Source organism: Homo sapiens, chromosome 5 (assembly GCF_000001405.40).
Source record: "Homo sapiens chromosome 5, GRCh38.p14 Primary Assembly".
Lineage (NCBI taxonomy): Eukaryota > Metazoa > Chordata > Mammalia > Primates > Hominidae > Homo > Homo sapiens.
In genome coordinates, this window is record NC_000005.10 from 28,648,724 (window position 1) to 28,662,676 (window position 13,953).

Consider the following 13,953-nt stretch of genomic DNA (forward strand, 5'->3'; position numbering starts at 1 on the left):
AAGACAATATTAATAGTGATAATAGCAAAAATTAATTACTTTGTTAATAATACATATACATATACACACAAATATCATATTTGAAATGACCAAGCCACTTACTGAGAATATTTTCATTTCAAAAAAAAGATTTATTTTTTATTCATATTTTCATTGTATGAAAAGGTAAAATTAGTGAAAAAAAGAAATATAATTTTACAAACCAAAAAAGACAATCATATGAGAAATACAATCATTTCTTTCTTTTCTTTCACACTTTACTGTCTTATTTAAATATTTATAATTTTAACAAAGTGCTTGTGTTTGACTTTTCCCAGTTGGCAAATTTCATGTCATCAATAAAAATTAATATATTCTATAAATATCTGACTACTTTAATTACATTGGGTAATTCTTAAATTTTGTTTTGATCTCTTAACAATTAGTACAAATATTGTCTTAAGAATTACAAACCAAAATTAAAAAGTGTTGATTTTCTTCAAAAATATACATATTTATGTCAGAATTTCTGCCCTTATTTTAGGAAATTTTTATCAAATACTGTGCTCTTTTCAGCACAATTTGTCTTGTTAAAAATGCATGAGGTAATATATCATACAAATAATTCACAATACACATAAAATATCATAATTGAAATAAATGGAATGGGATGTCAGAATGAAAAATTAACAATATAATTGGTTATTCAGTCCATCATTCATCTAATTAGGGATGCTACTTTGATGAAATACGTATAAATATAAATTTTCACAAAATGTTGCTATGGTTTAGTTTGATTTATTAGAAAGACATTTTCAAATTATTATTTAGAGAAGATGTTGGAATTGTTTTACCAGCTGAACAATAACTATAGTACAATAAACTTACGTCTTAAATATCATTATAGTGAAATAATTATACAGTCCTTGGTTACATGATTTAAGATAGAAGAATTTTATACCTAGAAATCATGGGTAGCTACCAGATTAACCCTCAAGTACTCAGTACTGACCCCGCAAACCCAACTCTGCTATGATACCTAGCCTGGGAAATAATCTATATAAAGTCACAACAGCAGAGAATCTTAGCAGTCAGCGTCTCATAACAATTTATTTTACTTCCAGTATCCCTGATGCTAGGGGTATCAGACATTGTCCAAGCCATGACTCTTCAACATAGAAGCATGAAGAGTAAAAAATTCAGAATTAGGTGACATTTGACTCTTGGTTTTGTCCTGTGGACTATTTTTCCATTGAACACTCCGAGTAGTGTGAAGTCTAAAAACAAGTTTGTTTGTTTTTACTTCAATCAATTAAGAAAAAAATAGACAAAAGCTACTCAAGCAAAGTTATCCTCCATTGCTTGACAATAAATGTGGTAGAACAAAGTTTACATTATTTTTCATACTCATAATAATTAATATAAATGAACTTAAACCATGTTATGAAATTATTGCATGTGCCTTAGCAGGAGGGGAAGGAAGAAACTATCTCTAGTGTCCCTAGGATGGTAACAGATTCAATATTCCAGGGATTAAGTATATGTCTTAGTTGTTATTAGTCTAGCCTAAATGATTTTTTCCCTGATTTAATGTTCTTGCCCAGACCAGTAAGAGGTTACACTGTGTTTGTTTCTATTTACCAATTCAAAGGGTTAAACTATGTGTCCTAGGGGAGGAAGAGTCAGGAACTATGTTGTGGATGGAAAAAAAAGTAAAGGTGGGGGCGGGGGATGAAATATCCAGAAACTATTTGGCAAGATTCAAGCTCAAACGCAGATCTGTTTTTTGTTGTTGTTGTTGTATATAGACAAGTTGTAATTTAGTAATATTGAAATGTACAGCTATATTTAACATGCTGTGATATTGATCTAAAAAATTAAATACAATTCTTCCTAACTGAGGCTTTGTACTCTTTGACTATCATCTCCCTATTCTCCCCACCTCCTAGCCTTTGATAACCACCTCCTAGTCTTTGCTTGTATGAGTTCAACTTTTCTTGACTCCACATATGAGGGAGAACATGTGGTATTTTTCTTGCTGTGTTTGTCACATTTCACTTAGCAAAATCTTCTCCAACTCCATCCATGTTGTTGCAAACGGCAGAATTTCTTCCTTATTTTAAAGTTGATCTATATTCTTTTGGGTATATACCCAGTAATGGGATTTCTGGGTCAAATGGTATTTCTGTCTTTAGGTCTTTGAGATTTAAGAGTATGACATTTTGTATATATACCACATCTTTAAACATTTATCCTTTGATAGATGCCTGAGTCCATAATATGGCTATTGTAAATACTGCTGCAATAAACATGGGATTGAAGACATGTCTTCCACATACTGATTTCAAATTTTGGGGGTAAATTCCCAGACAGAAGTGGGATTGAGGGATCATAGGTAATTCTATTTTTGATTTTTTCAGGGATCGCCACACTATTTTCCATAATGGTTGTACTAATTTACATTTCCAGCAACATTGTACAAGGATTCCCTTTGATCCACTTCCCTGTCAACATTCGTCTTCTTTCCTCTTTCTGATGAAAGTCATTCTAATAGGTATGAGGCACTATCTCACTGTGATTTTAATTTTTCATTTCCCTAATGATTAATGATGTCAATAATTTTTAATATCTGTTAGCCATTAATTAAAGAAATGGAAGAAGACACAAATAAATAGAAAGATGTATCTGTTCATAGACTGGAAAAATAAATATTGTTAAAATTTCCATACTACCCAAAGTGAACTACATATTCAGTATAATCCCTATCATAATTCCAATATCTTTTTTATAAATTAAGAAAAAAATTCTAAAATTCATATGGAACCATAAAGAATGCAAATAGCCAAAGCAATCATGAGCAAAAAGAACAAAGCTGAAGGCATTACACTACCATATTTCAAACTATACTACAAAGTGATAGTAGTTGAAACAACATGCTACTACTGGCCTAAAAACTGACACATAAACTAATGCGACAAAATAGGGAACTCAGAAATAAACCCAAACATCTACAGTCACACATCTTCAGTCAGCTGATCTCCCACAAAGGTGCCAAGAATATACAAATGGGAAAAGAATAGTCTTCTCAAGAACTGGTGTTGGGAAAACTGGATATCCATATTCAAAAGAATAAAATTGGACTCTTATCTCACACAACATAATAAAATTAACTCAAAATTGATTAAAGACTTAAACATAAGACCTGAAACTTGAGAACTATTTGAAGAAAACCTAAAGAAAAAAGTATCATACATTGGTCTGGACAATTTTTGTTTAATACTTGACCCCCAAAGCCCAGGCAACAAAAACAAAGATAGATAAGTGGAATTACATCAAAATAAAAAGCTTCTGCTTATCAAAGCGAACAATTCGTTGAGTGAAAAGACAACTTATGAATTGGGAGAAAATATTTGCAAGCCGTACATCTAATAAGGGGCTAATACCCAACATATATAAGGAGCTCAACTCTACAGAAAGAAAACAAATAATCCAATTAAGAAATGGGCAAGACACCTGAACAGATTCCTTCTATTCTTTCTCTATTCTATTCTTTATCTAAAGAAGACACACAGATCTGGTTTTGTATCCAGGCTCTGGGTCAGTAGCGTAATCTCTGAGAAAATAGTCTACAGTTTCTCTAGGTGGCTAGATCATAGGCACTGATATATTACCAACTCAAATACTTATTTTTCAAAATAAGACAAGGAAGGAGAAAAAACCATTGGGTTTCATATTTGGAGAAAGGATTCAGAAGTTTTTATGATGTACTGGAAATAAAAGACCCTCTTTCATACCTCCTTCATATCCCTCAATATGAGGTGGACTTTTCATGTTTTCCTGTGGCCTTGAGAAAGATGTAAGTTTCAATTCCCAGATGCATTAATTTCCTGTCACAGATGTAACAAATAACCAAAAGTATAATAAAACAAAACTTATTTATTTATTTATTTGTTTACAGGTAGGTTCTCACTCCTTCACCCAGGCTGGAATGCAGTGGCACAATCATAGGTCACTGCAAACTTGAACTACTGGGATCAAGTGATTTTCCTGACACAGCTTCACAAATAGCTGGTCTACAGCTGTGCACCACTACATCCAGCTACAAAAACAACACATATTTATTATAATACAGCTTTGGAGGTCAGAAGTACAAAATTAGTCTCATTGGTCCAAAGTCAAGGTGTGACCAGAGCTAGTTCCTTCCAGAGGCTTCAGGGGAGAGAGAATTCCTTTCCTGCAACTTTTCAGCTTCTAGAGGCTGTCTTTATGTCTTGACTTGTGGTCCTTTCCTATACCTTAAAAGGCAGCATTATTGTAGCATCTTAAACTCTTTCTGTGCTTCTAGCATCATAACATCTTTATTTTTTATTTTATTATCAATTTTAATTGCCACATAGTAATTGTATATATTTATGAGGTATAGTATGCTATTTTTATGAGTGCATGCAACTTGTAAAGATCAAAATCAAAGTTATTAGCATACTCATCACCTCAAACATTTGTCATTTCTTTGTGTTGGGAATATTCAAAATCTGCTCTTCTAGCTATTTGAAAATATGCAACAAATTGTTGTTAATTATATTAATCGCAAAGTGCTATAGAACACTAGAACTTATTCTTCCTATTTAGCTGTAATTTTGTATATGTTAACCAAATTCTGGCTATTCCCTTCTCGTCCTATCCTTCCCATCTTCTAGTAACCATTATTCTACTCTCTGCTTCTATGACATCAACTTTTTTAGCTTCCTTACATAAGTGAGAACATGAGATATATTTTTCTTCTGTTCCTGGCTCATTTGACTTAACATAATGTCCTTCAAGCTCATCTATGAAGCTACGAATGACAAGATTTCTTTCTTTTTTATAGCTGAAAAGTGTGCCATTTTGTATGTATACCACATTTTCTTTATTCATTCTTCTGTTAATGGACAATTAGATTGAGTCCATATTTTGGCTTCTGCAGCCTCTAACTCCTGGGCTCAAGTAATTCTCCCACTTCAGCCTCCTGAGTAGCTAGGACTACAGGTGCATGCTACTACACACAGCTAATTTTTGTTTTTGTTTTTGTTTTTGCAGGGATGGCTTCTCAGTGTGTTGCCCAGGCTGGTCTTGAACTCCTGGCCTCAAGCAATGCTCCCACCTTAGCCTCCAAAAATGTTGAGATGACAGGTGTGAGCCACCACACTCAATTGCTTAATGTATTTTAATCATAAAATGAAATCAGTAATTTTCACATCTTTGTTATTTAATATGTGAAAGAAAGGGATTTCTGCAGATAAGAGTAATTTTTCAAAACAATAATAAATATGAATTAAATTATATCAATCATACAGCTGAAAATAAGTAAAATTAAATGTCAGATTATCTAAAATCATCAATATATTCAGTGAATATCAATGATTATAAGTGTTTGTTGATTTTAAAATCTGAGTGTTATGTGTAAAATTTAAGAAAATACATAATAGTGCCTTAAGTATTATAAATTCTAATAGCATATTTTGGGAAATAAAGTTAAAACTATTAATTGCTGAGTTTACAGTATATAACCTCAGTGGATGATAATGAGAGATTAGATTATTGTGGAATATGAGAATATGTATAAAAGTCAGAAAGAAATATTTTTAGCTGATATTCTTAATAGTTAAGGGGTAGGTTTATTATTTTCCATAAGTGGATTAGTGGAGATTTTTGCAAAAATATAAAAGTAAAGATATCACTACTACTGCAATTATTTTGCATTTCTATAATGTCTTTTTATTGAAACACTTATAAATCCTATAAAACAAGTACTGGTACATGTTCTCTATAAAATAAATGAATATGGTTCGTAAGACTGTCAAATTCCTTTATAACCTCACGATACCTTATAGAGTGGCTGTTACTCTTTCAATAGGAATAGCTATGGTTCATAGGATTTATGGGTAATCTATACTGCTGTGGTATCTTGGGAGTGATAGCTCCTTTAGATATTTTATCTTCTGTTATAACCCTTACAAATAACACAGTTTATTTTCATGAGGCTTGAAATAGCCATAGCTAATTTCAAAAGAATTTACTTCCTGTGGTTGTAATACTTTATTATAGAAAGTACTGTACAAAGAAGTTACAGTTTGAGTGACAGTTAATTCTCACATATGTATAAAATATATTCCATGTTAATTAACTTACTATTTTTTTTCCCTTGGCATAGTGTTATGTACCATGAGGGTAGACTTATAACCATTAAACATTTTAACTTTCTTCCATAGTATTGTGTGTGTATGTGAATTTGTATGCAATTAAAATAAATCAATACAGTGATGCAGGGTACATTCTGGTCGACATGTGTCTTATTTTAGATGAATTGAAATGACAAGCGTGATAAAACTATTTACATTTTATCTCAAAATATTTTATTCCATTTCCTTTTCATAGACATAATACATTTACTAAAATAAAAATATTGACAAAATGTTATTCATATTCTCAGAAAATGTTAAAACATACATTGGCACTTTTGTGGAGCATCATTTCTGCAAAATGAAGTAAAAGTTGATGTTCACGTTTTTGTCATTAATGAAATCATTTATCCAGAAAAGTTTGTAAAGAAAAATAATGGGTATATGCAAACCTGCAAAGCAAAGTTATTCAATAATACAGGCCTTGGATATGCGGTTGTAAGGCAAGAAATCATACTTATTATTGCCCTACTCTGAAAACATTTCAGGTTGAAATTATTTATAGTATTCTAATTGCTACTGCTAGGTTACACTTAACTATCTATAGAAAAATCCAAATATTTTACATCACATAATTACTCGGCACAAAAATACCAAAGTTCTTGTCCAAAATACGTATTTCCTTTTATCGCTTGGGGGAATACTATAGGACAATTTTTAAGTACAGTTTCCTAAACATGACCAAAAACATGTTTAAGTCCTTATTTTTGCTCACATTACGTGTTTTTTTGTTCTTTTTCCCCTAGATTTATTGTATAGTTGAGAAATTAAAAATGCATTTATTTACTGTGTGCCATGTGATGGTGTGCACCATTCCCATAGGTTTCTTTTTGTTATTGTGAGAACATTTAAGATCAATCCTCCTAGCAAATGTCAAGTATACAATATAGTATAACTTACTATAGTCACCATGATGACTTTAAAGTTCTAGAACTTGTTCACTCGTTCATTCTGTTAAACCGAATATTTGTATCCTTTGACCAGCATCCACCCCATTCTCTCCACCCTCTAATCCCTGGTAACCCCCATTCTACTCTGTTTTCTACGAGTTAAAATGTTTTAGGTTGCACATATAAGAGAGATGGGCCGGGTGCAGTGGCTCATACCTGTAATTCCAGCGCTTTGGGAGGCCGAGGCGGGTAGATCACGAGGTCAGGAGTTCAAAACCAGCCTGGCCAAGATGGTGAAACCCCGTCTCTACTAAAAATACAAAAATTAGCCAGGTGTGGTGGTGGGCACCTGTAATCCCAGCTACTCAGGAGGCTGAGACAGAGAATTGCTTGAACACAGGAGGCAAAGGTTGCAGTAAGCTGAGATCGCGCCACTGCACTCCAGCCTGGGTGACAGAGCAAGACTCCGTCTCAAAAAAAAAAAAAAAAAGAGATCATATGCCTGACTTACTTTGCTTACCATAATGTTCTATAGATTCATCCATGTTGCAGCAAATGGCAGGATTTCCTTCTTTTTAAAGACGGAATAAGGTTATGTCTATCTGCAGTATCATATTTTATTTATTAATTCAGCCAGTGATGAACACTTAGGTTGTATCCATATATTGGCTATTGTGAATAGCTCTGCAGTGAAAATGGGAGTGCAGATATCTTTTCACGGATAATGATTTCTTCCTTTGGATATATACCCAGAAGTGAGAGTGCTGGATCATAGAGTAGTTCTATTTTTTAATTTTCTGAGGAACTACCATGATTTTTTTCTGTAATGACTCTACCAATTTATTTTATGCTGTATAAAAGTATAATCTACAGTATCAACTATATATTATTTATAAACAGTACATGTGTTATGACATATATAGTGCATATTTATAATTTTTAAGTTTACATTTACTAAACTACTTATGCTGTTTTCATATATTCAATTTCTTTAATTTTTATCTTCCTCTTAGGAATAATGTTTGTGCTTTTCTTTGTTTTATTTCGTTACACACATGACATAGATATTTATGTCTTAAATTCCAACCTTTTCATGTTAGTCTTATAAATATTTAAGGCCACTGATTTAAACACATATTATAATTCATGACACATGATGATTCAGTCTCATTTTATCTTAGACATTCTGCAGTTTTGCTTTCAAAGAAAATAATCTCTAGTGAAATGCAGAAACTACAGAAAATACATGATAATTTTGTCTGATAGAAGCTCTAATGTGTTCTCATTGATTTATGGAAACCAAAGCAAAATTTTTAAAAATCTGAAAATATATTCTGTTAAAATTAATGATTTCCAAGAATGAGATAAAAATTAAAGCACAAAAAGTAAATGAATAATATACACTTGAATCAAATGTTGTCCAACATAGAAATTAATAGAATTGCAAACATATTTTCAATGTTGATTAGAGCTGGGGGTGATCTGCTCAAAGAGATCAGAATAGTTTCTATCTGATTCCCTCTTAATATACGTAAAGATTTTCCATTGTTTTTAGAAAAAAAATTAAATCTCCTCACAATGCCCTACCAAACTCTGAATACTCTGCTCTCACTTACTTTTCTAAATGCATCAAAGATCACTCACTCACTTTTTTACCCACTAATTTCTAGACACACTAACTTCCAAGCACATTAGTACTTTCAAGATTTAGATTATCAGTACATTGTTCCATCTACTTAAAATTCATTACTCCTATATCTGCAAATGTTTTCTGCCACTATATCCCTCAAGGCTTAGATTAAGTCTTAACTGAGTTTCTTTTTATCTGACATGAACTTTTTTATCTCCATTTCAGGATCTTTTTGTCCAATCCAGAGTACATTGCTGAATGAGTATTTATATATTTGTTTATTTTTTCCATATTTTCAACCCATTTGCCTGTGTATTATTTGAACCAAGAGGGCTAAATTGGATTAAAAGAATTGAAGAGGTAGAAGAGACAAAAAAAGGAGGTGAGTAAATTAGCTGCCGTCTAAATTAAAAAATAATAACAGCGTGGGTTAAGAGAGAGACCATGACAATATAAAATGCAATCAAATATAATTCAGAGGTAGAATCTATGGATATACCACCATATTAGATTTGGAGATCAAAGGAATAAAATAATTCATTTTTATAGCTTATTTTGAATAAAAATCAAGGATATGATGTTGTCGATACTTTCAAAAATATGTGTAAGCCACGAAAAAGTCAATTTTGTATAATATAAACTCAAAGGAAAATTCAATGCATTTGTGTTTGTGGGTTTGTATTGGGGGTTGTCCATGATAAAACACAATGCAGTGAATAAAGTAAAAGATCAAAGTATACACCTAACTTGGGTTGTTGAATATATATTACCAATTGTTTCATTATATTTTATTTTAGTTATATAGACTTTACCAGTAGTGTTAAGAAGAGAGTATCTATCTCTAGAAAACCTTATTATTAATTCGTAAAAAGTATAATTTTCATAGGTAAAAATTGATACTTCATTTGGCAAATTTGTATTTTATAACAAATAAAAACAAATAATGTATATTCTATCTGCTGTAAAATTTTTAAATGAACTATTTCTTTAAATCTGTTGACTATATCCCAATTTAAAAGGCTTAGCAATAGTGAGCCTATTGGGTCTATTATAAACATTTTACTCAGTTTAATTTTACTTAATTTCTTCTAGATGGTTTGATAGTATATAAAAATTGAAGAATATATTTTGTTATATATCATTTTCCAATATCAAGTAATATCTTTTAAATACATTTAAAAACAAAAACTTTCTCTTAAAAGTTAAATAATTTTATCGTATGCCTCCTAGTAGATGTTTTTATGTACTTTTTAATTCTCATATATATGATAAACATTTTATATTTTTAAATTTGTTTTACTTTATACTGGGTTATATTACATTGCTGCTCCCATGCGAAGGCAACTATTTTTGGTAATTATGTTGTACTTTGAGATTTTCATGAAAAATATTTTAATTCAGATATTATTTAATTTAATGTGAGAAATTATTTATATGTATCTGATTTAGTTTCCAATACTTCCATACATTTTTTTCTCAATGATGTAGACCAAATGTCCAATATCCTGGTGTATAATAGTGGAAATAGCATCCAATCTTGTCCATGGAAATTCTTCTCTTTTGTTATTGAGATATTGCCTGACTACTTAGAATTCATCACCATGTTTACCTAGTTTCTTGTTTTTCTGTCTAGATTAAATATGGCAGTCAACTGAAGGAATAAAATACATTTTATAATTAAGAATGAGCAAAATGCTTAAAATAAAATAAAAGAATTTAAAGTAAATTTAAGTGGCAAGTGCAAGGCTAAAGGACGTCTATGTAAAAATAATTTAAGTTTTAAGTAAGGTAATATCAACTCTAATCAAAGAAGGAAAGAGTTTTTTTCTTGTTGACTGTACTGAAAATGGTCAAGGTTCCATACTGCATGTGATATATAATCAAAACTATATCAAAATTTCTGTGATTCTCCTGGGACTTCATCAGTCTTTGTGCTGGCTTCATCCTCTGAATGACTGAAGCAGTATTACACATCATATATATACACCAATCTTTGAAGTGTAAGAAAGATAATTTGTACCCTAGAATTACCAGATAATGTTCGGATTTCCACACTGATTTTTACTTTTGTGTCAGGTCTTGCAGACTAGATAATAATACATCACATCCCATTGAGTAGTTTAGGAAGATGCATACTGAATGAGATCGTTAGGACTGTCTTGAATAGTTTAATCCAGTGACTTCCAATGTTGCCTGCATATTAGACTCGTGTATGGACATTAAAAAATATACTGATCTTAGTTATGTCCTCCTAGACCTAATCAATTAATCAATGAAAGTGTATTATTACTTGGTTAGGTATTGTTGTTAACAATATTAAAAATATGAATATTAAAAACAATAAGCAAGACAACTTTCTGATTTATTCTAATATACACCCTGGATAAATAACCACAGGTTTAGTCCCCTTAGAGGCCACTTATTGAGGTGTGGATGAGGTTTAGTCCCATCCCAAGTGTACCCAAAAGTTTTGCTAGTGAGAAAGTACAGCAAATGCAGGAGGGAAAAAGCAAACTCCCACCAATTTAATTTATAAATATCCTATTTCCAAGTGAGACAACATAATGTAATCCCTTATTTTCTTACCATCTCCAGCAAGTAGTATATAGTGGATAGTTTTGCTTAGTGTAAACATCATAGCAGAGATAATTCAAGATGCAATATTTAGATATTTTCCACAATTACACTAAGTTAAAGCTTTTTCACAGCTCAATTATTTTGTTTGCATGAAAATTTAAGAAATTATAGTACAAAATAACTAATTGATATGGCTTACTGTAATCATTTCCCCTAAAATCAGATTTCATTTTGATAAATAGCGAATTAAGCAGAAATCTATATTCACTTCAATTTATATATTCTGAAATTATTAAAATGTTGATGTATTGTCTCCGGATATTGACACTTAAAAAATTTTCTCTCCCAATTGAAAAATATAGGCCAAAATAATTTATTTATTGTGTTCTTAGCTTGAAAAAGAAAAAAATGCTAGATCAGTATAAAGTATTTGATAAGCAAACTAAATCTCCTATCACATCAAAAAGTAGGTTTTGCTTTGTTTGCTTTTTCTATGGTCTCCTGCTCATGATACTGTTGTAAAATTCTCCAAGATCTAAAAAAAGACCTTGGATTTCTTCTGCTTCAGTAGCAAGTCTATTAATAGAATAGGGAGAGAATTGTAATGCTTCATTACTTTCAGCTGAGAAAGGGGAATACAAGGACCTCTCACTTTCAAAGTGGCATTGAAGCAAAATTACCTCAACCAGACATGAAGGTATGGAATAAAGTAAAAATAGGTTTTACAATTTCCCTCAAGGACTGAGGAGAATGCATATTTCTTCCAACAAATGCAAATATTTCAGCAATTAGAATTTTCAAAACAATTTTACTTGCTCAATTTAAAGTAAGAATGGTGTGACCATGAAGCTAGCATTTATAATCAAGCATGAATTACAATTTGTATATAAATGTAAAGTTGCTACATTGTGGTCCAATAATATTTACTATGGGATAAATTCTAAATTACATAAGCTATAACTTTCCCACATTCTCTCAAAATATTGGATAATGGCATCCAAAATACTCATTTAGACTAAAAATATCCAGTAAATATTTTCACTGGAATAAATATATTTTTAAGCACAAATTCACATATTATGAAATATTGTAAATGGAAAAATGTATGATTAGGAGAGCCCTGAGTCAAAACAGTGTCAAACTGAAAAGTTTGTCTCCAGGCAGGGCATGGTGGCTCACGCCTGTAATTCCAGAACTTTGGGAAGCCGAGAGCAGCGGATTTCTTGAGGCCAGAAGTTTGAGATTATTCTGGCCAACATAGTTCACCATGTTTCAACCCCCTCTGTACTAAAAATGCAAAAACCAGCCAGGCATGGTGGCCACACCTGTAATCCCAGCTACTCAGGAGGCTGAGGCAGGAGAATTGCTTAAACCTAGGAAGTAGAGGTTTCAGTGAGCCAAGATTGTGCCACTGCACTCCAGCTTGGGCAACAGAGCAAGACTCTGTGGAAAGAAAGAAAGAAAAGAAAGAAATAGAAAGAAAGAAAGAAAGAAAGAAAGAAAGAAAGAAAGAAAGAAAGAAAGAAAGAAAGGAAGAAAGAAAGGAAGGAAGGAAGGAAGGAAGGGAGGGAGGGAAAGAAAGAAAGGCAGGCAGGCGAAGGGAAGGGAAGGGAAAGGAAAGGAAAGGAAAGCAAAGGAAAGGAAAGGAAAGGAAAGGACAGAAGGAAAGGAAGGAAAGGAAGGAAAAAGAAACGAAAAAAGAAAGAAAAAAGTTTGTCTCCAAAAGGTAGTTTTATACCTTCTTTTATGTTAAAATGTAATGAATAAATTATTAGTTAATTTACATTTTGTGTACAAATCCAAAGTTATTAATTTAATTTATTTAACAGACATTAGATTTTTGGTGACTTCTTACTTGAAAGCTTTTAGCAGCATATATTAGTTTCAGAACAGGGAATAGTATCTGTTTGCAAAGCGATAAACCAAAAAATTTGTTAGCAATGCAGAGAAAAATATTCATGAAAATAGAATAGATCACACTGGAGAAAAGAAATGGTGATAAAATTACTTAAATATCATCTGCCATAGATGAGCACTGATTATCTCTAAAGATGTAGATTCTACACATACACACCATTGGCAAGGTGTATGTGGAATATAATTGATTCTGCATATTAGAGAGTATATTAAAAAGTCATATAATTTTAAGAATACCTAACATACCATTTTTTTCTCTTAAGTAATCTATATCATCTAGTGCAAATATAGTGGTTGATAAACAAGGGATTATATTGTTAAATGGACTTACACCAATCACTGATCTCACCTAACTCTGAAATATACAAATGATTTGTGTATTACTTTCCTGCTGCTTCAGTAGTAAACTACCACAGACTCAGGAGCATCAAAAAGAACAAATGTGTTACACTCTTGCTGTGAGAAATCCGAAATGGGTTTAACAGGGATGAAATCAAGGTGTCAGCAGAGCTGCATTCCTCCTTGAGGCTCTAGGAGAACTCTTTTTATTTTTTCCTTTTCTCCTGTATTCTTCAACTTGTGGTTGCATCATTCTGACCTCTTTTTCTATCATGATGTATCTTTCTCCAACTCTGAACCCTCCTGGCACTTTCTTATAAAGACCTTGTGATTCCATTGAGTCCACCTGGATATTTCAGAATAATCTTCCCATCTCAAGACATCAGGGTGGTGCAAAAGTAAT